The 25,460-nt window shown below is 44.1% G+C and overlaps 1 pseudogene, 1 gene segment (V, D, J or C) and 1 further gene, besides 2 other annotated features; all 3 read left to right on the forward strand.

Moving 5' to 3' along the window:
- IGL (immunoglobulin lambda locus) overlaps positions 1–25,460 on the forward strand; it is an 896,838-nt gene that overhangs the window by 541,105 nt on the left and 330,273 nt on the right.
- Positions 6,302–6,836: an enhancer, noted in NCBI's record as "NANOG hESC enhancer chr22:22915922-22916455 (GRCh37/hg19 assembly coordinates)". NCBI's record gives its function as "activates a minimal SCP1, AML or CMV promoter by ChIP-STARR-seq in naive and primed H9 embryonic stem cells {active_cell/tissue: H9 hESC(naive and primed)}" and the evidence as "EXISTENCE:reporter gene assay evidence [ECO:0000049][PMID:30033119]".
- IGLV2-34 (immunoglobulin lambda variable 2-34 (pseudogene)) lies at positions 12,662–13,132 on the forward strand (annotated as a pseudogene). The gene is given in 2 exon segments: positions 12,662–12,707; positions 12,825–13,132. Coding segments are annotated over 2 exon segments (354 nt in total).
- Positions 19,758–20,052: a silencer, noted in NCBI's record as "tiled region #7390; HepG2 Repressive non-DNase unmatched - State 13:Ctcf, and K562 Repressive DNase unmatched - State 25:Art". NCBI's record gives its function as "represses a minimal TATA promoter and a strong SV40 promoter by Sharpr-MPRA in HepG2 and K562 cells {active_cell/tissue: HepG2 | K562}" and the evidence as "EXISTENCE:reporter gene assay evidence [ECO:0000049][PMID:27701403]".
- On the forward strand, positions 21,033–21,508 carry IGLV2-33 (immunoglobulin lambda variable 2-33 (non-functional)). The segment is given in 2 exon segments: positions 21,033–21,078; positions 21,201–21,508. Coding segments are annotated over 2 exon segments (354 nt in total).

Raw genomic sequence — 25,460 nt, forward strand, 5'->3', positions numbered from 1 at the left:
ATCCTGGGAACAACACCTCAGAATGTTTCCTTTCTGTGCCTCAGTAAGACTTGAAGGCTGGTAGGGTAGCCTGAGTCGTGGCTTTCAATGATATTCAGGTCCTAATTCCTGGGACTTGTGAATACTGCCTGTCTTTGTCCGTTTTGCATTGCTGTAAAGGAATAACCGAGTCTGGGTTATTTATAAAGAAAAGAGTTTTATTTGGCTCAGGGTTCTGCAGACTGTACAAGAAGCATGGTGCCCACATCTGTTTCTGGTAAGGACCTCAGAAAGCTTTCAATCTTGGTGGAAGGGGGAGGAGGCATCACATGGCAAAAGGCAGAACAAGAGGGAGAGGAGAGGTGCCACATTCTTTTAAACAACCAGCTCTCTCATGAATGAACTCACTGATCTCCACAGGGAGGGCACCAAGCTATTCACGAGGGATTTGCCCCCATGACCCCAAAACTTCCCACCTTCTTTTTCTTTTTCTTTTTTTTCTTTTCTTTTTTTTTTTGGAGTCTCGCTCTGTCACCCAGGCTGGAGTGCAGTGGCGTGATCTCAGCTCACTGCAAGCTCCACCTTCCCGGTTCACGCCATTCTCCCACCTCCCTAGTAGCTGGGACTACAGGCACCCGCCACCACACCCGGCTAATTTTGTTTTTGTATTTTTAGTAGAGACGGGGTTTCACCGTGTTAGCCAGGATCATTCTTTTTCTTTTTCTTAACCTCTGGGAGCACAGAACATAACATAGGATTTGGAGGGGACAAATATCCAAGCTATATCATTACTTTATATGAGAAAAGGGGTTTTGCAGATGTAATTAAGGATCTTGAGGGAGACATTATACTGGATTATGCAATGGGCCCTAAATGTAGTCACAGATGTCCTTTCGAGAGGGAGGCAGGGGGAGATTTGAGGACAGAAAAGGAGACATGAACAGCGGTGGGATGATGCAGCTACAAGCCAAGCAATGCCAGCAGTATCTAGCAGCTGGAAGAGTCAAGGAAACAGATTCTCCCCTGGGACCTCCAGAAGGAACCAGTCCTGCTGATAATTTTATTTCAGTTCTGTAAGCCTTCTTTTGGATTTTAGATTCTCAGAACTGCAAGAAAATAAATTGCTGTTATTCTAAGCCCCTAAGTTTTTGACAACTTGTTGTAGCAACAATGGGAATCTGATATAGCTAAGGTACCATACATTTTGACATCTTCTCTATATATGGTACCATTCTGATTTGTACTGTGCAAGGCTTCCTTGCCCTCTCACTGGTAAACCTTGGTATGCAGGAAATTATTTTTGTACATTCTCCAGTATATTAACTTTGGTTATAGGTGATACATTATATCTATTGCAAATTATCATTTTGTCTCCTAATTTGCATCAACCATGCTGCTTGTGTCTATTTATGACTGATTGTGTAGGAAAATTCTTCAAGAAAAAATCAAATAGGATGGTAATTCCTGCATCTTGGAATGCCTAAAAATCTTCTGGCAATAACTGATTACATAGAGAAACCATCTGTTTACTTCCTTCAGGAACTACCTGGCACCTTCTAGTGCTTTCCCTTGTGGACCACAGGTGATGGAGGCTGGGCCCTAATCCAGCACACACCTCCAGTCTAGCGGGCTTCTGGTCCAGTTATTTACCTACAGGTATTTTATTGATGTTATTCTTCCTCTGATGACACGCTGATTTCAAAACATGCCTAAAACCAAAGACACAGGATCTTTGAAGTCCCTTCCCTCAAATATCTGAGGCTTTTCCCCAATTGAGCAGCAGTTCACATGCTTGTAAGTTTTAAATGTGTTAGGCATTTTACTGGAAATGCTTTATATGCTTCACACTCCACAGGACTTCTTATTCCCAGCTCATTGATTGAGGAAAGTGAAATCTGCCATTTGCTGATGGGCCAATGTCAAGGCCAATGTCCCAGATCCCCTGTCAGGACAAAAGTGTGATGCAGCCAGAAGTCAGCCCTCACCTGCAAATGCTCTCCTGAACTTGCCTACCCTGGAGGGATCTGCTCACCAGGCAGATTCCAGGCGATGCCCAAAGCACTCCCTAATAAAACTCTGTGTGCTCATCTCCGCCTTAACTTCTGTTTCCAGGAGACCCAGCTTGTGACCATTGTTTCCAGGAAGATTACCAATTGTCTCTGTTTGCCCTGGACCGAAGGTTTTCCCAGGACATAGATCTTTCAGTGCTAAAACAGGACAGTCCTGAGTTATCTTAGGACCAGGAATGTCTATGAAAGGAGACACTTGAGAGATGGGATTCTGGAGCCATGGAGACCCCAATATGGGGGAGTTGGAGGTAGGGGCGCGAGGGTAGATGCGCATATAGCCCCTACCATGGTGGAGCAATGCAGTGTGTAAACTTTTTACCAGTGGTGAATAGGGATGATTTACCTATAGGAGGAAATGAAAAAGCAGGACCATGAGTCAGACATTTGAGAGACGTGAAGAAAACAGAACATTAAAGGAACCAATTCCACAGCTTTCTCTGTTGGAACAGTGTGGTAGCACTGATACTAAGTGTGATTGATGATTTGCAACAGATAAAATGCTGGAATGATTAATTAGCAATGAAAAACTAGAAGATGTGGGGCAACAAGGCTCCAGCTCCATCCTCTTAGGGTACCAGCTGGGCTCAAGAATTGACATAAAACAGATTCGCAGGAGACAAAACATACAAATTTACTTAATACAAGTTTCACATGGCACAGGAGCCCTCACAAGGAAATGAAGACCCAAAGAAGCAGTTAGAGTCAGTTACTTATATAAGGAATTGGTCAAAGAATAGTCAGTTGTGAAGAAACGACTAAAATATGTGGGGAAAAAAGCCCCAGAATCTGGTGTATCCAAATAGGACTCCACTCTGATGACAGGTTTCTTGGGCTGAGATTCCTTTGAGCCCCATCCAACTTCTTCCCAGCTGCTGAGAAGAGAAAATCTTTTAGAGGCTTCCTGGAATTTTCCCAGTCCACACTGATTTTGCTTAAAAGATAAAAGTTATTATAATAAGGTCTGTTCAGCAGTATCTCAGTTTTGACTTCTCATCCCTGAGGATAAGAATGTTGCTTTTCCTTCTAGCATAGGGAGGGACAGGGTTTTTCACATGGGACTTTTGTCTTCTGCTTTTAAGAAACAGAAAACAGCAGAATGATCTTTTTGCAACTGGTGTTTTCAAGTGCCTTTTACTTAAATAGTCAATTTGCTAGACCGGTACTTTTTTATTTCTTTTCTTTTTTTTTTTATTATACTTTAAGTTTTAGGGTACATGTGCACAACATGCAGGTTAGTTACATATGTATACATGTGCCATGTTGGTGTGCTGCACCCATCAACTCGTCATTTAACACCAGGTATATCTCCTAATGCTATCCCTCCCCCCTCCCCCCACAACAGGCCCCGGTGTGTGATGTTCCCCCACTGTGTCCATGTGTTCTCATTGTTCAATTCCCACCTATGAGTGAGAACATGCGGTGTTTGGTTTTTCGTCCTTGTGACAGTTTGCTGAGAATGATGGTTTCCAGCTTCATCCATGTCCCTACAAAGGACATGAACTCATCAATTTTTATGGCTGCATAGTGTTCCATGGTGTATATGTGCCACATTTTGTTAATCCATAGACTGGTACATTTTTAACTCCATCAGAGCGCAAGCCAAAAAGCTTCCTCCTGGGCTGAAAAAAAAAGCTTCCCCCTGGGCTGAAAAAAAGCTTCATCTTGGGCTGGAAAAGCTTTTTGGCTTGCACTCTTCCTCTGGGCCTGAGCCTTCCCTGCCCTCTCATCTGCTTGGACAGAGGGCAGGGAAGACTGAAGCCCAGAACTTAATCCTAAGTGTAGCAGACCATCGGGACCCTGACAGGGTAACAGTGGGGTACTGAGTCACGGGACGAGGCCATCTGGATTCACGCACCTGAAAATCTTGATGTCCTTGAATTTTCCAAACCTGCAGAAGTGGCCCTCCCTTACTCATTGAAACCCATGTCTCCCTTCCTTTTGCCTGAAGATGATGCAGAGACCTCTGACCTGTGAGATTGTATCCACCACCACAAGTGTCCCCAGAAATCTGCCACCACCTCCTATTAAGACCAATGGACCAATAACTAGAATTGAGTCCCAAAGAAACCTGGCAAGGAATGTGATAGACCTGCTGCAGAACTAAGGAGCTCCAGAACCAGCCAACACGTGCAGTGGGCCCCAGGCGAGTGTGTATGGGGCTGGATTCTGAGGGTGTAAGATCAAAGTGCAAAACCTAAGATTGGATTGGGGAGGGTTTATCTGCTGGAAGCACTCTCCTGGGACGCAGGCTTTAACCCCCTAGCAAAGACATTGAGGCATTCCGCAAGCCCGCCGCAAGGATTGCCCTTAGGAGGACAGAGAAAGCAATGGTCCGTACCAAGCAAGGTCATAATGCCAGATGTGCTGTGGCAGATGGTGGGAGAGGAATCAAAAGGTCCTGGGAGGCCAGGTGTGGTGGCTTATGCCTGTAATCCCGGCACCTTGGGAGGCCACTGTGGGAGAATGGCTTGAGGCTAGGAGATCAAGACCAGCCTGGGCAATATAGTGAGACCCTGTCTGTACAAAAGATTAAAAAAAATTAGTCAGGCATGGTGGCACACTCCTGTAGTCCCAGCTACTAGGGAGTCTGAGGTAGGAGGATTGCTTCAGCCTGGGGAGTTTAAGACTGTAGCCAGCTGTTCCAGCCTGGGCGACAGAGTGAGACCCTGAAAAAAAGAAAGAGAGAGAGAGAGAGAAAGAAAGAGAGAGATGGAGAGAAAGAAAGGAAGGAAGGGGAAGGGAAGGGAGGAAGGGAAGGAAGGAGAGAAAGAAAAAAGAAAAGAAAGAAAGAGAGAGGGAGAAAGAAAGGAAGGAAGGGAGAGAGAGAGGGAAAGAAGGAAAGAAAAGAAAAGAAAGAAAGAGAGAGAGAGAGAGAAGGGTTCTGAGAGTGCTTAGCTGGAAAGGCAATACCAGGTACTCATGGACATCTCCCCAAGTGAGAGAATTCTCAGGAGGGCCTGGGGACTGCAGTCTGTAATTGATTGATAAGCGGTGCACTGGTGAGAGAAATCCAGCATCCTTGAGAAACTCAGTGGGTAGTTCTCTAGACCAGGCCAGCAGGGGAAGCTGGTAAGGAAGTTGATAGCAATACGGATGGAAGGACCATGCAGTGATAGTGTCACATTGTCAGGGCTTAAGCATAGGAGCCAGGTGTGTGGCAAAAGATGAAGTGGCAGCAAGGCACCTGACATTGAATGATGGAGTCAGTCAGTATAGCATGGCACCTCTCGGGGCAAGATGCATAAGCCACCAAGAAAGGGACAGCTTCTAATCTTTTTAGCTTATTTTTTATTTTTTTGTTGAGATGGGGGGGTCTCACTAGGTTATCCAGAGTAGTCTCGAACTCCTGGCCTCAAGTGATCCTCCTGCCTCAGCCTCCCAAATTGCTGGGATTACAGGTATGAGCCATAGCTTCCGGCCTAGCTTTTAATCTATATTTTCAGAGGGAAGTAAGGAAGAAGGGTCAAACCCCATTAACAAGTTTCTGAAAGAGCCTAACTTGCAATGTCTAGTCATTCCAGAGTAGGATATTTACCCCAAGGATTAATTCACTGTAGTTGCTGTGATAAATGACCAAACCATAAACTGAGTGACTAAAAACAAAGACCTCTAAATGATTACACCTGGTATCTTTGGAGGAGCCATTCAATCTACTATACGCTGCTTCCAAGTCCTTGTAGAAAAACATACGGAAATCATGCATCATCCCATGGGTGGAAGACCTCGCTCCAGGTTAGTGAACTGCTCTGATTTGTGACTCCAAAGATGGACATTGGTGACAGCAAAAGGAGGACCCAGAATCTCGTGTATTCAAACAGAACTCCACTCTCATGAGAGGTCCTTGGATCTAGACCCTTGGGTCAAGCTTCCTCTGAGCATTGTCCAACATCTTCCCACTTGCTGAGAAGGAAGATTCTTTATGTGGGCCCTGGAATAGCCTCAGTCCAGCCTGATCTCTCTCTCTTCCCTCCTGAAGTTTTATTTCAAACATTTTGAGACTCTAAAAGGGTTTCTTTGTCTCATTTCTCTCCTCCAGTCCTACTACCAGGGTTGTCTTCAATTTATATCCAATGTTTCTCTGGCCTGGAACTGAGACCTACCTCCCAAGCAGCGACCCGACCCGTGGAGTGGGGTCCCTGGGGCAAGCGAATGGCCCTTTGCCTGGAGAACCTGGGCCAGCAGTCATGGCAGGTGACACATTCCATTCTGGGGCGAGGAACCAGGGAGGGAGCACTGCATAGATCAGAAGGGTAAACAAGGGGAGGGAGAAGGAGCAAACTTAGATTTGGGAGGGAAAGAGGGAAGGGTGCAGAGGAAGCAGAACACGGATGACTGGGCCTCCTTCAGTTGTTCTTGTGACTAGACCCTCCCATCTAAGCCACCAGGGGACAGGAAGGGTATGAGTTTGAGGACTCTAATGGCCCCAAGGTACTACTGCGGTTTATCCTACTTGTAGGCGGTCCCAAGAGCTTTGTTCTCTCCAGGGACTCCAAAGGGGATGAACTTGCAAGTCTTTTGTCTCCACTCAGTGCCTTCTCTGATTAGGCCAATAAACATCCCCAGGCCTCAGTCTCAGGCCACTGTAGGGGCTGAGGACAGTGAGAAAGATGTGTGAGCATCCACCCTTTGGAGAGGTTGAGTAGGAATGAGAGGTCCCCTGCCTTGCCTTTGGTCCTTGTGAAGGAAGATGTTGGATATTTCCCAGCTTGGCTGGAATCCGTTCCTCACCCTCCCCATTCAGAGCAGGGATGAGTAAGTCCTCCGCTTTCTCCGCAACCACAATTGTGTTTTTCAGGAAAGGATAAAGTGGGAAAGATCAGATCCCATGCCTCTTCCTCCTCTAAGTCATGGGATGACTGCAGAGAGTGAGCAAGAGGGTAAAAACAGTGCACTGAGTGTGACGTTTGCTAAAGGAACAGATAATTGCATCAAAACCTATTTCTAGCAGAGTTGTGGTGCTTGCCTATAATCCCAGCTACTAAGGAGGCTGAGGCTGGAGGATTGTGAGGCCGGGAGCTCAAGACCAGCATGGGTAGCATAGTGAGAGCTCATCTCTAAAAAACAAAACAAAAAACCACACTTATTTCTAATTGTCTAATTGGTATCCACAATCAGACCTTTCTGGGAAGTTTTTTTTCTAACATGCCTAAATGTGGCTTGGAGACTGTTTGGGTGAGGCCAATAGCTTAGCCTTCCTACTTAAGTTGTCTCCTTCATTCATTCAACAAGCAGGTATTATTGAGTGGATTGTTGGGTGCATTTGTGTGTCCTCAGTAGGATGCAGGCATGCAACACATGAAGATATGATAATTCCAGTCAGAGGAATGGCCTGTGCAAAGGCCCTGAGGTAGAGAGAAACTTGATAATTGAAAGAACAGAAAGAAATCCAGTGGGACTGGGGAAAGAGAGGAAGGAGATGAGAGGGGACTTACAGGCAGCCAACAGATCATGTGCAGACAGATCACTTGAAAGCAGAGGCAAATGGCTGGATGTTTTTGTTAATGAAAAGAGAATTTATTTGAAGATCTTCCATCATTTTTACATGAAGTGATTGATGTGTTAAATGAATGAAATTTAACATTCATGGTGTATGAAATTTATGGAAGAAAAATTGAAGCAGGCAGAGCATTTTATGGCCTTTGGGCACAAGAGAGTGAAGCTTGTCCCATGTAGAGTCATGGAGAGTGACTGGGAGATTCACCATTAGAGTTGGCAGATTGGCTCTTGGATTGAATATGGGGCATGAAGCAAAGAGTTGTTGACTCCTGGAAGTTTGACTTTGTCAATGGCGTGGCTACTACTTTCTTTTATTAAGAGAGAGACAGATGGGAGAGCAACAGGTTTGAGGGAAACACATAAAGTGCTTTGTTTGGACTCATGGGGATTTTTTGGAGAAGACAGACAAGATACAAGTAACAAGATCATGATGTCTGTAATATTTGGGTACAAAATGCAATTCATAAACCTGATTGTATAATATGATCCTATTTATGTAAAATCATATATATTTAGTTACCTTGATTCAATTTATACATCACTAATTGTTTCCAGTAATATTAACCAAAGGTCTACTATATGCCAAATAACCTTTTATGGCTAGAGATAGAAAAATGAACAAAACTTACTATGTTCATCCTTATGGAAGATACATAATTCATATTTGTAAACATCACATTTAAGTATGGCAAGAAATCTGGTGGGATGGTTCCTAAAATGAAACAATAGTTTCATAGGTTTGTGAGAATTTAGGTGATATTTCTACTTAACTTTCATGTACACTAAAAATTTTTCCTATAACTCAAAAAAATTTTTTGGAGGCAGATTAGCAAGATATTTATTTTGGAAAAGCAAGAGTCAATCTGAATTGAACTGGAGGGATGCTGAGAGTTCTAGAACTTCATAGAGAGAAAGAAAACTGAGTTATTGGGTGGGGGTTACACCTATCTTTTTGTCTTTTCTTTTCTTTCTTTCTTTTTTTTGAGATAGGGTCTCCCTCTCTCACTCAGGCTGAAGTGCAGTGGTATGATCTTGGCTCACTGCAACCTCTGCCTCCCTAGTAGCTGGGACCACCACAGGCATGCACCACCATGTCCGGCTAATTTTTAAAATTTTTTTGGTAGAGACAGAGTTTTGCCATGTTGCCCAGGCTGGTCTCAGACTCCTGGACTCAAGAGATCCGCCCACCTTGGCCTCCCAAAGTGCTGGGATTACAGGCGTGAACCACTGCGTTGGGCCGCTTATCACTTTAATGTCTAATGAGAGGCCCCTGGAGCTGGAACCCTTAGCCCCAGCCTGACCCCTGACCCTTCTCCCATGTCCTCAAATTCAAAAACTCACCTCTGGCTGTCCATTCAGTTGTTCTCAAGTCTGACTGTGCTCTTTGTCCTTCATGAACTAGAACTAGTCTTTCTTTCAAACCATTTTGATAAGCTGATCAATGTCTCCTCATACCATTTTTCTCATTCAGCCTTCCTCCTGGGGTTGGTTTTATTTACCATCTAACAATATTTCTGTAACCCTGAGCCTCTAGAGCTGCCTCAGGTGCACTAACGCTGTGACTAGGCTGCCCTGGGACAAGCTAAGAGGTTCTGCGGGGGAGGGTCTGGGCCCCTGGTGTGGCAGAAGGTGCATCCATCCTGGAGGAAGCCAGAGGACCAAGGGCCAGGAGCCTGGGGGGGATTAGAAGGGACCAGGAGGCCTGGTCCTGAGCTGGGATGGGAAGGAACGGGAAGGGGCAGGAGCAGGACAGGGATTTCCAGATCCACTCAGCCGCCTCCCTGGGGCTTGGGCTCCTCCATCTGAGGCCACCAGGGGGCGGCAAGGGCTTGGATTTGGGGAAGGGAATTGCTGTGGTTTAACCAGGGAGTGTATGAAGCTCCATGGGCTGCTTCCTCCTGAGACCCTTCTAAGGGAGAAGTGGGGAGTGGAATGTCCAAAATATGTTGTGTCCCAATATGTTCGTTTCTAGAAAGGCTAATAAATAGCCTCAGCCCCCAGCCTCAGAGCACTGCATAGAAAGAGGACAGAGGTATTTGAGGGTCATTCTGAGAGAACCTAGAAGGTATTGAGTGGGAATAAACAGTCCCCAGCTCTGCCTTTGGTCCCTGGGAAACAGAGTGCCTGGATCACTCCACAGTGGTCATCTGGGATCTGGTCCGAGGTCTCTTCCTTGATTCTGTTCCCTGAGCCTTTTTTATTCTATTTTGGATCAGATCCATGCACACGTAGCTCAGAGTTGTGCCCAAGATTTCATAAGGAATTTACAGGGTTTTTTCCCCCTCAAACTTATTTCTCTCCACAGTCTGCCCATTATTTATGGTTCCCCAGACTTTCCCTTTTGGTTTCTGGTGAAAAAACTGTGACTTTAATAAGCCTGCGGTGCTGTGCACTTCCTGCAACTGAGTCCGTGTCCACACCAAACACCAAGAGGACAAAGAGTAACAAAGGTAAGGGGATTAAGTGCCACTGTCTTGGAAATCAGCTCCAAAGATGAGAAAAGAAAGTCCGCACAGTCTCTACTGTCCCTGCTGTCACCACGAAGAATTTCCTGGAGGCTGGATCATGTAGAATGGAGAGAAGAACAAACATAAGAAAAGGAAAACGTGGACATTTCAAATTTGCCCTGAGCACTAGGGGTTTCCTTTCTCATCTTCAAGCCAGAACAGTGGAGCTTCTTCTGGAACTTTTGTGGCTGCACACTGGTACCCCTTCCAGGTATTGGTCTGCCCTGAGTGCAGGCCACAGGACACTGGGGGAAAATGGGAAGCTCTCTGCTGGTTTGATTTTACTAAAAGTGCTAGTATCTCCCCTAGTCTGCCTCCAGTGATTTGCTTTTCCAAGTAATCAAATTGATGCTCCATGGATTCTGTCCCAGGTTTTACAGCTGGGCTTGGAGAAAATGTGGTATATGCCACTGCATCCGAAATGGAACCTGAAAACAGTAATAATATTCTAAACGTGAAAATTAAATCAATCTGAATCACAGGCAGTGGAAAACATCAAAAGATGAAAGAGTTTTAAAAGTGATTTGAGGAAAGAAACAGAGAGAAATATTTTCACATTGGTTCTATGTTTACTCTATTTATCTTTTTTAATTTAATTTTAAAAATAGAGATGAGGAGGTCTCACTATGTTGCCCAGCCAGGCTGGTCTCGAACTCCTGGGCTCAAGCAATTCACCCGCCTCAGCCTCCCAAGGTGATGGATTACAGGCATGAGCCACCACACCCGGCCCCTGTGTTTCTTATGTGCTCCTTGATTAAGAAGAGTTGTTTTTTGTTTTTGTTTTTGTTTTTTGTTTTCTTGAGATGGAGTTTCACTTTTGTTGCCCAGGCTGGAGTGCAATGGTGCAATCTCGGCTCACTACAACCACTGCCTCCCAGGTTCAAGCGATTCTCCTGCCTCAGCCTCCCAAGTAGCTGGATTACAGGCGTGCACCACTACACCAGCTAATTTTTTGTATTCAGTAGAGACGGGGTTTCACCATCTTGGTCAGGCTGGTCTGAAACTCTTGACTTCAGGTGATCCACCTACCTCGGCCTCCCAAAGTGCTGTGATTACAGGGGTGAGCCACCATGCCCGGCCAAAAAGTTGGTTTATTGTAGCTTGTGGATACAGTGAGATGGAAGAAAACCCAGAAAGCAGAAATAACACTTCTTTGTAATATGAGGAAAAAAATAAAAGATAAAGTTGAATGAAATATTTCATATATATATGTTTCATATACATGTTTCTTATATATGTTTCATATACATGTTTCATATATATGTTTCATATACATTTCATATATATGTTTCATATACATTTCATATATATGTTTCATATATATATTGCAACATATATATGCAATATTCATATATATAGCCATATATATGTTTCATATATATATTGCATATATATGTTTCATATATATTGCATATATATGTTTCATATATGTTTCATACATATGTTTCATATATATATAGTTTTTTACAGAGTCTTGCTCTCTTGCTCTGTCACCCAGGCTGGAGTGCAGTGGCCTAATCTTGGCTCACTGCAACCTCTGCCTCCCGGGTTCCAGTGATTCTCCTGCCTCAGTCTCCCGAGTAGCTGGGATTACAGGAACGCACCACCATGCCTGGCTAATTTTTGTATTTTTAGTAAAAGTGGAGTTTTGCCATGTTGGCCAGTCTGGTCTTGAACTCCTGCCCTCAAGCGATCCTCCTGCCTCAGTCTCCCAAACTGCTGGGATAACAGGCGTGAGCTATCACGCTCGGTCTGAAATCTTTAGATAAGTATGAAGTCTATATAAAAAAAAAAGGCTCTTACTAGGCTAGAAATGGCCCATTTTAGAAGCTTTCATTTTCCACCTCACACTCATCTCTCTATAGATCCTCTGCATGGGCAGTGGGTGGGCCCTGTGGTCCTCAGTTCTCAGGCTGAGAACCAGAGGCTGAAAAGGACAAGTCACCTGCTCATGAGTGGGAAGGGCAGGATTGGGAGCAGCGGACTGTGGCTCCATTGCTCCTTGTTTCCTCCACAGGCCCCTCCCACGTGTGCCCCTGAATGACCTAGAATGACTAATGTGCTCAAGGGATTTGATGCTGCAGATGCTTCGGCATGAAGGGTGGGGGTGGGGATGGGACAAGGCTGCAGCTGAAGAGATGGGAGACCAACAACACACAGCAGGGGTTTCCATGGGGTGGGCACCCCCATTTCCTCACAGTTTAGAGAGCCTGGAGGTGGGTGCCAAGCAGAGGGCACCATGGCGTGGCCCAGGCCTGGAGGTTCACAGAGACACAGGCACAACACAGCAGAGACACTGAGGGCCAGGAGCTCACTCAGATGAGGGACTTCAGCAGATCTTTCTCTCTTGAGGAAATTAGGTACAAAGGAATCAAGTTCCTACCATCAGAATAGACAACAAGTTTTAATCTCCTCAGCTGAGCCCCGCTGTCCAGGGAAGCAGAAGTCTCTGAGCCCGGCCCAGGTGAGAGTGGGGTGAGGAGAGGAGCTCAGGGTGCAGATTTGCATGAAGGCCCCACCCTCCTCTGAGGCAGAGGGGATAAGACAAGTCTGGGGGTAGGCCCAGCGCTGGGGTCTCAGGAGGCAGCGCTCTCTCGGGACGTCTCCACCATGGCCTGGGCTCTGCTCCTTCTCACCCTCCTCACTCAGGGCACAGGTGACGCCTCCAGGGAAGGGGCCTTGGGGACCTCTGGGCTGATCTTTGGTCTCCTGCTCCTCAGACTCACCTGGGCCCAGCACTGACTCACCAGAGTGTATTTCTCCCTCTTTCCAGGGTCCTGGGCCCAGTCTGTTCTGACTCAGCCTCGCTCAGTGTCCAGGTCTCCTGGACAGTAGGTTACTATCTTCTGCACTGGAACCAGCAGTGACATTGGGGGTTATGACCTTGTCTCCTGGTGCCAGTAGCACCCAGGCAAAGCCCCCAAACTCATGATTTATGATGTCGGTAATTGGCCCTCAGGGGCCCCTGGTTGCTTCTCTGGCTCCAAGTCTGGCAACACGGCCTCCCTGACCATCTCTGGGCTCCAGGCTGAGGACGAGGCTGATTATTACTGCAGCTCATATGCAGGCAGCTACAATTTCCACAGTGGTCCAAGTTCATGCGTAATGAGACCAAAACCTGCCCTGGTCTCTCAGGCTCTCTCTCGCTATGAAGGTGCTTCCTTACCCTGTGCAGAAGAGGGCTTCATGCAACATGGCCTTGAGAATTTCATCCACTCTCAGCCCCTCTCCCCTCCAACAATGAAATGCAAAAGAAACATGCTCTCTGGTTAATTGTCTAGGGACAATGGCAGCTTCTTCTTTTCCTGTGTGATATGGTCCTGCATGGTGACTCTTTCCAACTTTTCAATGGCAGGGACAGAGCAATAGGATCCATCTGCTCAGTACCATTTCTGCAGTTTTCTATGAAACCCTCACATTAAATGCCTCCATCTCCCACACTGTGCTGACTGGCCTGGGTCTGTGCTCCAGAAATAACGTCTTACTCAACTCCATATCCACCACGCTGTAGTAAGGATGGCTGTCTTTGCTGGGTTATTTGTTCCTCTGCAGGTCTCTTCCCAAAGCAACACCAACTGAGAGAAGATCTGAAGATGTTGAGAGAGTGAGCATAAAAGTAAAGGGTTTTATTTATTTGCTTTCTTTTTTTTTTAACTTTGTTTTTATTTATTTTTTTGATACAGAGTTTTGCTCTTGTTGCCCAGGCTGGAGTGCAATGGTGCAATCTCAGCTCACTGCACCCTCTGCCTCCCGGGTTCAAGCGATTCTCCTGCCTCAGCCTCCTGAGTAGCTGGGACTACAGGCACGCGCCACCATGCCCAGCTAATGTAGAGATGGGGTTTCACCATGTTGGCCTGGCTGGTCTTGAACTCCTGGCCTCAGGTGATCTGCCCACCTCAGCCTCCCGAAGTGCTGGCATTACAGACATGAGCTACCATGCCTGGCCTTGTTTTTATTTTTTAGAGTTCCTTTGTCTTTGACCCGATGTCTATCTATGGGGGCTTAGCCAGGGCACATTTGAGTGATTGTTCTTTGCGAGAACATTGTTCTTTGCAGATCATTAAACCCCTGTCCTGGAAACAGTCCTGTACTTAGACTGTCTCCCTGTTAGCATGGGCTCTTTCCTAAATGATCCACAGGAAAGCTTATTTGGTGGATGGGTCTTCTGTTCCTCAAGGACTCTATGGGTAGTTTATTTTCAAGGTGAGCCAATACTGTTTCTAGCTGGAATCTCATTTAATCTCATAACCATGAGAATTAATTTTTTAAACCTGCAGGGTGTTCTCTAGCCATTTTTTAATTTTCTTTGATTTTGTGAGCCACTTTTAAATTATAATCATCATTAAACCTTAAAACATATAAACTTCAATTAAGCAGATTATATATTTTATTTTATTTTTTGAGACAGAGTCTCGGTCTGTTGCCCAGGCTGGAGTGCAGTGGCACAATCTTGGCTCGCTGCAAACTCTGACTCCCGGGTTCAAGTGATTTTCGTGCCTCAGCCTCCCGAGTAGCTGGAATTACAGGCATGTGCCATCACGCCTAGCTAATTTTTGCATTTTTAGTAGAGACGGGGTTTCACCGTGTTGGCCAGGCTGGTCTCGAACTTCTGACCTCGTGATCCACCCGCCTCGGTCTCCCGAAGTGCTGGGATTACAGGCATGAGCCATCAAGACCAGCCACATATTTTTAAAAAGTACATTGGTTATTATCCACATACCTTTGGACTGCTATAACACAATACCTTAAACTGGTGGCTTATAAAAACAGAAATGTATTTCTTACACTCGTGGAGGCTGGGAAGTCTTAAGATCAATGTGCTGGCAGATTTGGTGTCTAATGACTGTCTGCTTCCTCATAGAGGCCATTTTCTCACTGTGTCCTTGGAACTGAGGACAAAGCAGCTCCTGGTAAAGTTCAGATGTCTGTTTCTTGCAGGAAAATTTCTCTTTACAGTGATCTGGGCTACTGGCTCCAACACACGCACCCAGATGGATTTCTGAGCCGGTCATTGACCATTACCATTTTAATATTATCTCAAATTATAAACATTATCTCAACTATTGTTTAATATAATATAGCACATAAATGTTTAAAGCATACATAGCGAAACAAGGGTCTTACATTCAAAACTGTCATTTCCCCAATCACCCATCTCCTTGTCCACCAAGCCCCAGTGCCACCACTTAGCTCATTGCTCCTTTGGCTTCACTTTCTGGTGCTCTTGCAAGTGTCTGTCATGTGTTACAAACAACAACAAATAGTCCTCCAAGAACGTTTACCTCCATAGAATCCCTATCCTGTTTCCTGAGTGGACATTTCCATTTTTAATCTGGCAAAGATCAGTCAGCCCTGATTAGTGTTTTAAACTCATATCCATCTCTTTCTAGAAAAACACACTAGGTTAAGCATCTCTCTGTGGATGGGGGACCCTCATGAAGGCACACAGCTCTGAGCTGAGGTGGCCTCAATGTGTACAATGGAGCAAGACAAAGAAAAGTCCCATGTTCTGTGTGATAGACAGACAGGCACTGATGAGAGGTCTCCAGAGCTGGCGCCCTTAGTCTAATCTTGACTCTAGTCCTCGTCTTTCCGACCCTTAAACACTAGAATTCCTGGTCTGCATTCCATTAGGTCATTCTTAAATCTAGTGAGCTGTATCTCCTTCATGCAATGTTTTTCTTTCACTATTATTTTCAGCTTTATTGACATATAATTGACAAATAAAAATTCTATATATTTATGGTATACAACTTGATATATTAATACATTTGTTGTACATTGATATATTTGTTGTGAAATTACTGCAATAATTGTGTGAAATCACAATCAATCTAATTCACATAAAATAACCTTACATAATTATCATCTTCTTTCTTTTTTTTTTTTTTTTGGTGAGAACACTTACAATCTACCAAATTAGCAAATTTAAAGTAAATAATGCAATATTGTTAACCATAGTCACATTGCGGTACATTAGCTATCTAGAACTTATTCATCTTGTATCACTGTACTCTTTTATACCCTTTGATAAACATCTCCCCATTTCCCTTTTCCCTCCCCAGTCCTGACACCCACCATTTTACTCTCTGGTTCTATGAGTTTGAATATTTTAGATTCTACATGCAAATAAGATCATGCAGTATTTGCCTTTCTGTTTCTGGCTTATATCAGTTAACATAATGTCCTCCAGCTTTATCCATGTTGTTGCAAATGATGGGATTTCCTTTATTTTTTAAAACTTGGCAATATTTGTGTGTGTGTATGTGTGTGTATGTATGTATGTATGTGTGTGCATGCACCACATTTTCTTTATCCATTCATTTGTCATCAGAAATTTAGGTTGTTTCCATGTGTTGGCTATTGTGAATAATGTTGCAAAAGACATGGGAGAACAGATATCTATTCAAGATTCTGATTTCATTTTGTTTTGAGATATGCCCAGAATTGGTATTGCTGGATTATATGGTAGTTCTATTTTTAATTTTTTAAGGAATCCCCATACATTTTCTACAATGGCTGTTTAGTTTACATTCCTTTCAACAGTGTACAAGAGTTTCTTTTGTCCACATCCTTGCCAACATTTGTTATCGTTTATCTTTTTGATAAATTACAGGCACGTGCCAACACACCTGGCTAATTTTTTATATTTTTGGTAGAGACGGGGTTTCACCATGTTGGCCAGGCTGGTTTAGAACTCCTGACCTCAAGTGATCCACTGCCTCGGCCTCTCAAAGTGCCGGGATTACAGGTGTGAGCCACCATGCCTGGCCTATTTTTTCTATTTCTATAAAGAATGACATTTGTGTATTGATAGGTCTAGCATTGAATCTGGAGATCACTTTAGGTAGTATGAACATTTAAGAATATTAGTTCTTCCAATTTATAAACACGAGATGTCTTGATATTTATCTGTATCTTCTTTAACATTCTTCATCACTGTTTTATAATTTCCAGTGTAAAACTCTTTCACCTCCTTCGTTAAGTTTATTCCTAAGTACTAATTCCTTTTGTAAATGTGATTGCTTTCTTAATTTTATTTTCATATATTTACTGTCTGTGTGTAGAAACGTCATCAATTTTTGTATGTTGATTTTTTTATCCTTCAAATTTACTTAATTTAGTTTTAACAGACTTTTTGTTATTGTGGAGTCTTTAGGTTTTTCTACACTTATGTTTATGTCATCTGCACACAAAGATTAGGATTTTAATCCTTCTTTTCCAATTTGGATGCGTTTCATTTCTTTTTCTTGTCGAATTTCTCTGGTTAGGGATTCCAGTGCAATGTTGAATTAAAATAAGTGGAGAGGGGGCATCTTGCCTTGTGTGGGATCTTAGGGGAAAAGCTTCTGTTTTTTTCCCATTGATTATGATGTTAGTTGTGGGCTTTTCACATATGGTTTTTATTGTGTTGTGGTAAGTTTCTTCTGTACCTATTTCATTTTATTTTTGTTTTTTTAAATATTTATTTTATAATAGAGATTAATTTTGCTATGTTGCCCAGGCTGGTCTTGAACTCTTGGGCTCAAGCGATCCTCCTGCCTTAGCCTCTCAAAATACTGGGACTACAGGCATGAGCCACTGTGCCCGGCCTATCACTATTTTGTTGAGAGTTCTTTTCTTTTCTTTTCCTTTTTTTTCCATTGCTTTCTTTTCTTTTCCTTTCCTTTTTTCCTTTCCTTCCTTTTCTTTTCCTTTCTTTTCTCCTCCTCCTCCTCTTCCTCTTCTTTTTTCTTTCCTCCTCCTCCTCCTTCTTCATCTTCATTTAAAATCATGAATGGATGTTGAATTTGGCCACATGCCTTTTGTACATCTGTGGACATAATCATATGTGTGTGTGTGTGTGTGTGTGAATCTTTCAGCCTGTGGATGCGCTATACCATCCTTGCACATGCGGAATCATCCTTTTATCCAGGGATAAACCCCACCTGTTCCTGATGTATGATCTTCTTAACATACTGTTGAATTTGGTTTGCTAGTATTTTACTGAGAATTTTTGCATTTAATATCTGTTAATGTTTATCAGAGGTAGACTGGCTTGCAGTTTTTTTTCTTTTCTGGTGTTGTCTTTGCTTTGTTTTGGTATCAGGGTGATCCCGACCTCATAAAACAATTTTGGAAGTGTTCCCTTTTCTATTTTTTGGAAGACTTTAAGAAGAATTAATATTAACTCATCTTTGAATGTTTGGTAGAACATTCAGCTATGAAGCCATCTGGTCCTGGGCTTTTCTTTGTTGAGATATTTTTGATTATTGAGTCAATCTCCTTCTTTGTTATTGGTATGTTCAGGCTTTGTATTTTTTATTGATTTGCTTTTTTTTTTAAGTTGACTGTTTCTAGGAATTTATTTATGTCTTTTAATTTATCTAGCTTGGTGTATAATTTTTCAAAATAGTCCCTTATGATCCTATTTATTTATTTGAGACAGGGTCTTTCTCTGTCACCCAGGCTAGAGTGGAGAGGCTTGACCACAGCTCACTGCAGCCACAACCTCCCAGGCTCAAGTAATCCTCCCACCTCAGCTTTCTGAGTAGCTGGGACTACAGGCATGCACCACCATGCCTGGATAATTTCTTTTTCTTTCTTTCTTTCCTTTCTTTCCTTTCTTTCCTTTCTTTCCTTTCTTTCCTTTCTTTCCTTTCTTTCCTTTCTTTCCTTTCCTTTCCCTTTCTTTCTTTCTTTCTTTCTTTCTTTCTTTCTTTCTTTCTTTCTTTCTTTCTTTCTTTCTTTCTTTCTTTCTTTCTTTCTTTCTTTCTTTCTTTCTTTCTTTCTTTTCTTCTTTTTTTTGTATAGATGTGACCTCACTGTGTTGCCCAGGCTGGTCTTGAATTCCTGGGCTCCAGAGATCCACCTGCCTCGGTCTCCCAAGTGTTGGGATTACAGGTGTGAGCCTTTTTATTTCTGAGAAATCTGTTGTAATAGCTCCTTTTTTCATTTTGGATTTTATTTGAGTCTTCTCTCTTTTTTCACAGTGTAGCTAAGGATTTGTCAACTTCGTTTAATTTTTCAGAAAACCATCTCTTAGTTTTGTTTTTTTCTATTATCTGTTTGATTTATTTCTGCTGTAATCTTTATTATTTCATTTTTTTCTGCTAAGTTTGGGCTTAGTTTGTTCCTCTTTTTCTAGTTCGTTGAGTTATAATTTTAGGTTGCTTATTTGAGATCTTTCTTCTTTTTTAATGTTTGCTTATCTCCATAAACTTCCCACTTAGCACTGCTTTTACTGCATCCTATAGGTTTGGTGTGCTGTGTTTTAATTTTCATTTGAAGATATTTTTAAAATTCCCTTTGGTTTTCCTCTTTGACCCAATGCTTGTTCAACATGTGATGTTTGATTTCTGCCTATTTGTGAATTTTTCCATTTTTTTTTACTGTTATTAATTTCCAGATTCATTTCTTGTTGTAAAAAAAGATTTTTGGAATGATTTAATTCTCCTTACATTTCTTAAGACTTGTTTTGTGACCAAACATGAGCTCTCTCCTGGAGAATATACCCTGTGCATGTAAGAAGACATTTTGAGAACCCAGGTGGTCTTTTCTCATACCATTTTTCTCACCCAGTGCTCATACTGAGGTTAGTTCATTTTACATCTAACATTTTCTCAGCCTGGAGCTAAGACACCTCATGTACCTTTGACAAAGCCATTCTAGCACAAGCAAAACGGTCCTGAGAACGAGTATCTTAGCCACCTGGTATGGCAGAGGACACATTCATCATGGAAAAAGTCTGAGGAAAAGGGTCAAGATTAGCATGGATCGAGGGTCTGGTCCTGAGCTGGGAGGAGAAAAAGGCAGGTTGGAGTGGGACCAAACCAGGTATTTCTATCTCTCACTTAGAATTGTGTCTTGGTACTTGAGATGAACCATCTGAGGCCACCAGGGGGCAGCAGGGGACTAGGTTGGAGAAGATGATTGATAAAGTTTATCCTGACCTTTAAGAAGCCCCTGAGTCGGCCGGGCGCGGTGGCTCACACCTGTAATCCCAGCACTTTGGGAGACTGAGGAGGGTGGATCATAAGGTCAGAAGATCGAGACCATCCTGGCCAACGTGGTGAAACCCCGTCTCTACTAAAAATACAAAAATTAGCTGGGCGTGGTGGCTTATGCCTGTAATCTCAGCTAGTCGCGAACCTGAGGCAGGAGAACTGCTTGAACCAGGGAGTTGGAGGTTGCAGTGAGCCGAGATGGCGCCACCGTGTTCCAGCCTGGTGACAGCGCGAGACTCCATCTCAAAAAAAAAAAAGTCCCTGAATCTCAAAAAAAAGAATGTGACTTTATGATTAACTATGAACAGCTGCTCATTAATAAAAAGCCATTAAAAAAAAAAAAGAAATCCCAAGAGCTACTTACCCTTGAATATCTCTAAAGGTACTGGGAAGCAGTGCTCCAAATCTGTTGTGGCCCAGTGAATTCCTTTTTAGAAGCACCATTAATGGTCCTAGTTCAACATGTCAGGCCCCAGCTTTAAACCACTGCAGGGGCAGGGGATGTAGCAGTGCTTAGAACCCACCTTAGCTGAGAGGACCAAGATGGTTGGGCAGGGGATGAGGGAAATGAGAAGTTCCAGCACTGTCTGAAGTCTCTGGGAGGAGGAGTGATTGAACTTTCCCACCCGGCCTGGGAGCAGCCTGTCCTCACATTCATCCCTCACAGCACAAAGGAGAAGTCCTGGTTTCCTCAGCCTGGAGCTCCTGCAATAGTGAGGGTTAGGATATCTCTGGACTGGCCTGATGTCCTGGGCACTCTCATGGGTTCAGTCTCAGGAAATCCATGCCTAGGCTGGATTAATACCCTCAGCTGAGCCTCACAGGGAAGCAGAAGTCTCTGAGCCCAGGCCCAGGTGAGGGTGGGGTGAGGAGAGGAGCTCAGGACACAGATTTGCATGGAGGCCCTGCCCTCCTCTGAGGCGGGGGGATAAGACAGGGCTAGAGGCAGGCCCGGTGCTGGGGTCTCAAGGCAGCGCTCTCGGGACATCTCCACCATGGCCTGGGCTCTGCTCCTCCTCACCCTCCTCACTCAGGGCACAGGTGACACCTCCAGGGAAATGGCCTTGGGGACCTCTGAGCTGATGCTTGGTCTTCTGCTCCTGCTCCTCAGGGTCACTGGACCCAGTACTGACCCAGTAGAGTGTGTTTCTCCCTCTTTCCAGGGTCCTGGGCCCAATCTGCCCTGACTCAGCCTCCTTTTGTGTCCGGGGCTCCTGGACAGTCGGTCACCATCTCCTGCACTGGAACCAGCAGTGACGTTGGGGATTATGATCATGTCTTCTGGTACCAAAAGCGTCTCAGCACTACCTCCAGACTCCTGATTTACAATGTCAATACTCGGCCTTCAGGGATCTCTGACCTCTTCTCAGGCTCCAAGTCTGGCAACATGGCTTCCCTGACCATCTCTGGGCTCAAGTCCGAGGTTGAGGCTAATTATCACTGCAGCTTATATTCAAGTAGTTACACTTTCCATAGTGGTCCAAGTTCCTAGGGAACTGAGACCAAAACCTGCCCTGGGCTCTCAGGCTCTGTCTTTGCTCTGAAGATGCTTCCTCACCCTGTGCCAGGGGCTTCCTGCAACAGGGCCTTGAGAATTCACTTCTCTGTCAGCTCCTCTCCTTTTCCATCAATTCCCAAAGGAAACCTCCTCTCTTGTTTACTCTCCGGGATATGACAGCTTCTTCTTCACTCGTATGACGGATGTCCTCTCTGAATTGGAAACTACTTCTAGCTCTTTAACAGGAAGTACATACCGGCAGGGAAATGCCTGCCTAGTGCAGTCCCCATACTTCTCCGGATGATCCTCACTTTATTATTTATTTTTATTTTTGTATGCACTAAAGTCGTCAATGTAAATCCTTACGTCGAATGCCTCCACTTCCCACATTGTGTAGCACAGCCTGGATTCAGTTCTTCAGAAATGACGTCCTCTTCAATGATAAAGGACCACTGCTCTGTGAACACCCCACTCTAGTGAAGATAGCCCACCTTGCTGGGTTATTCATGTACATCTTTTGTGGAAGCAGTAACCACTGTGTAAAGCTCCAAAGATGTTTTAAAGCAATGAAAACAAAGAGGAAGAAGTGTGTGTGTGTGTGTGTGTGTGTGTGTGTGTGTGTGTGTGTGTAGGGTCCATCCTGTTTGCCCTAATATCTCAGGTTGCCGAGCTAGGGAGTATTTGAGTGACAGACTTGGTGCCCTCTCAGGATCCTCCTCCTCTCACATCACTGAGTCCCTGTCCTGGAAACACCCTACAGGTGGACAATCTCCCCATAGTATGGAAGTTTCCAAAATGGCTCCACAGGGAAGAGTTGAGCTGAACACACCCACTCTTTCTCATGGGCATCAAATATATCTAATTTTTCTGGGGAAATCATCAATTTCTAGCTGGAATCCTGATTAATCGACAGACTGTGAGAATTAAAAATTTTAAAAATATTCAGACATATCCAGAGTCCAGTATTTAAATTCTCTGGAATTTTGTGAGCCAATCTTTAAACATAGTTATTATTGTAGTTTAGAGTTCATGAACCTGAATTAAATAGATTCTAGTAAACATAAAGTGCCTTAGTTGTCTATTGTTGCATAAAAATTACTCCTAAAATTAACATATTCTTAATGAGAACACATATGCATTAATCTGTTTTCGCACTGCTATAAAGAAATACCTTATTTATAAAAGAAAGAGGTTTAACTGGCTCACAGTTCCACATGGCTGGGGAGGCCTCAGGAAACTTACAATCATGGTAGAAGGCAAAGGAGAAGCAAGAACTTTGTTCACAAGGTGGCAGGTGAGAAGAGCTGGGGAGGGTGAACTTCCAAATACTTTTTTTTTTGAGATGGAGTCTCACTCTGTTGCCCAGGCTAGAGTGCAGTGGCGTGCTCTCGGCTCACTGCAGCTTCTGCCTCCCAGGTTCAAGTGATCCTCCTACCTCAGTCTCCGAGTAGCTGTTATTACAGGCATGCGTCACCAAGACCGACTAATTTTTATATTTTTAGTAGAGATGGGGTTTTACCATGTTGACCAGGCTGGTCTCGAACTCCTGACCTCAAGTGATTTGCACACCTAGGCCTCCCAAGGTGCTGGGATTACAGGCGCAAGCCATTGTGCCTGGCCCCAGACACTTTTAAAACCATCAGCTCTCATGGTAACTCCCTACCCATCACGAGAACAGCAAGGGGAAAACTGCCCCCATGATCCAATCCCTTCCGTCCCTCAACATATGGGGATTACAAGTCCCTCCTTCAACACATGGGGATTACAATTTGAGAAGAGATTTGGGTGGAGACACAGAGCCAAACCATATTAATGTATTTGTGATCTTGTAGTTTTCTTGCATCAAGAATCTGAGAGCTGCTTAGTTTGGTGGTTCTGACTCTGGGCTCCTCATGAAATTGCAGCCAAGCTGTCAGGCGGGGCTGCATTCAGAGGCCAGAGCAGGTGGCCAGGCCCAGCCTGAGGGGGCTTCTACTGTCCCTAACCTCTTTGGCAGATGTAGATGAAGTCAGGGAAAAGGGGAGCTCCCCACAGTGGGTAGCATCCCAGTGTCAGAGGGAAGGCACCATGGAGCAGTGGGACCAGCACAGGACCCTGGGGGTGCACTCAGACCTACCTGGAGGGATGGCAAGAAGGGGCATTCACAGCAGGGACAGGATAAAGGGCCTCTGCCCCATGTCCAGAGCTGTCTTGGCAGCTCAGTCACATTGGTTATCAGGTAAATCGGAGGTAAACCCTATCCTGAGTTTTACCACTGAAAATGGGTACAATTTGAACTAGGAGTGTTTTCAGACTTTTTCTTTCCATATTGACTTCTTAATAACCGCGATTTAATTTTTTTTAACCCCAGCCTAGTTTAGCTACATAGCTTCCAAATGTCATGCTACTGTGAAACTGAGCAATTAGTTACTTTTATCAGAGCATTTTAAATTTGAACAGGTTCCTTGGTCTTTCTATGTGTAATTAGTCAAAGCTTAGGTATGGAGTAGAGGATCTTTACCAAATGCTTTTCTAGACTCTGTTTTCATTGGACTTATAGCAGCTGTTTCACCTGGGCCATGCAGGAATAGGAGAGTTGTTGCTCCTTGACATAGCATCTGTAACATGCCTATCCTTTCTGCCACTATAAAAATAGCTGTGCTTTCTCTCCACTCGTCTCTCCTGCTGTTTCCCTGTTTTTCCTATTAAATATGCAGTGTTTGCAATCCATCTTGCATTCTGAGAAGATGAGGATTTTTTTTCATAAAGAATGACCTAAAATAGCTCTAAAGATCATCAGAAGTCACAACTACATACTTACTGGAGTGCAATACCAAATGTGGCCTCTGATTACAGTAACCTGGAGCTTGCAGTTTAAGCAATTCAGTCCCTGTCACTTGTGGACAGATTCGTATGTCTGTGGATGAGAAGATGAGCAACGGTCACTCCTGTGCTCATGCACAGATCCCTCCCTGCCCCTGTCCTCAAATTCAGACTGAAGTGCATGGCCCTGGAGCATTACATGAGTGATGGTTTAAGAGCACGTTGGTGATACACACAATATTAATGGTATCTTAATTTGCTTGTTAAGCATAATTTGAAAACATCTGGACAAATTTGGACACAATTTGAAGGGCATATTTGATAATAGCTTGTGACAAATGATTCCGTTCTGGGAGAGATGCTATTTTTGGTTCTCTAAATCGCCATGAAATGAAAATCTCAGATTATAAAGAAATAGACTCAAATCCCAAGTGTCTTTTGCTTTTCATTCCCCATCAACTGTGTTGCCCAAGCACCATGTGGACACTGCTTACAGGGTAGGCAGCCACCAGCTGAAGGCAGGTTCTTTAGTTGTCTGAGCTGTCCTGGAGCTGGGAACAGCAGCGTGTGTTCTGTGCCTGTTGGTCCCTATGTAGCACACACCCACTGCATATTCTCGCTGACTCACCAGGAGGGCTTGCAGCAGCCCTGGCCTATTTTCTTCTGAAGCACCTGCCAATGGTGCATTCTCCCCTGGTCATAATGCACCAGGAGATAAACATGGCATTTGACACACAGGTGCTAACTGGATCTAGGACTTCTAAGCTTAAGTAGACTCAGAGTGGGCAATCTAAAAAAAAAAAAAAAAATAGGTTCTCAATCGGTAGCCCAGGCTGGAGTGCAGTGGCTCCATCTCCTACCTCAGCCTCCTGAGTTGCTGGGACAACAGGTGTGTGCCACCATGCCCAGCCAACAGAGAGGGCAATATGGACTTGAAATGGACAATTTCCATTACTTGAAAGTTTTTGAGAAAGAACTGAGGTTTGTTTAAGAGGAAATCAGCCAGAGACTCAAAGTTAAATCTATCAGGCCCAAAGTCTCTTTGGGGAAAGGAGACTCTTGGACGTGCACGCAGCAGCAAGTGGTATGGGATCCCTTCTCTGTGGGGACCTTGGCCCAACTG

This window comes from Homo sapiens, chromosome 22 (assembly GCF_000001405.40).
Source record: "Homo sapiens chromosome 22, GRCh38.p14 Primary Assembly".
In the NCBI taxonomy this organism is placed as follows: domain Eukaryota; kingdom Metazoa; phylum Chordata; class Mammalia; order Primates; family Hominidae; genus Homo; species Homo sapiens.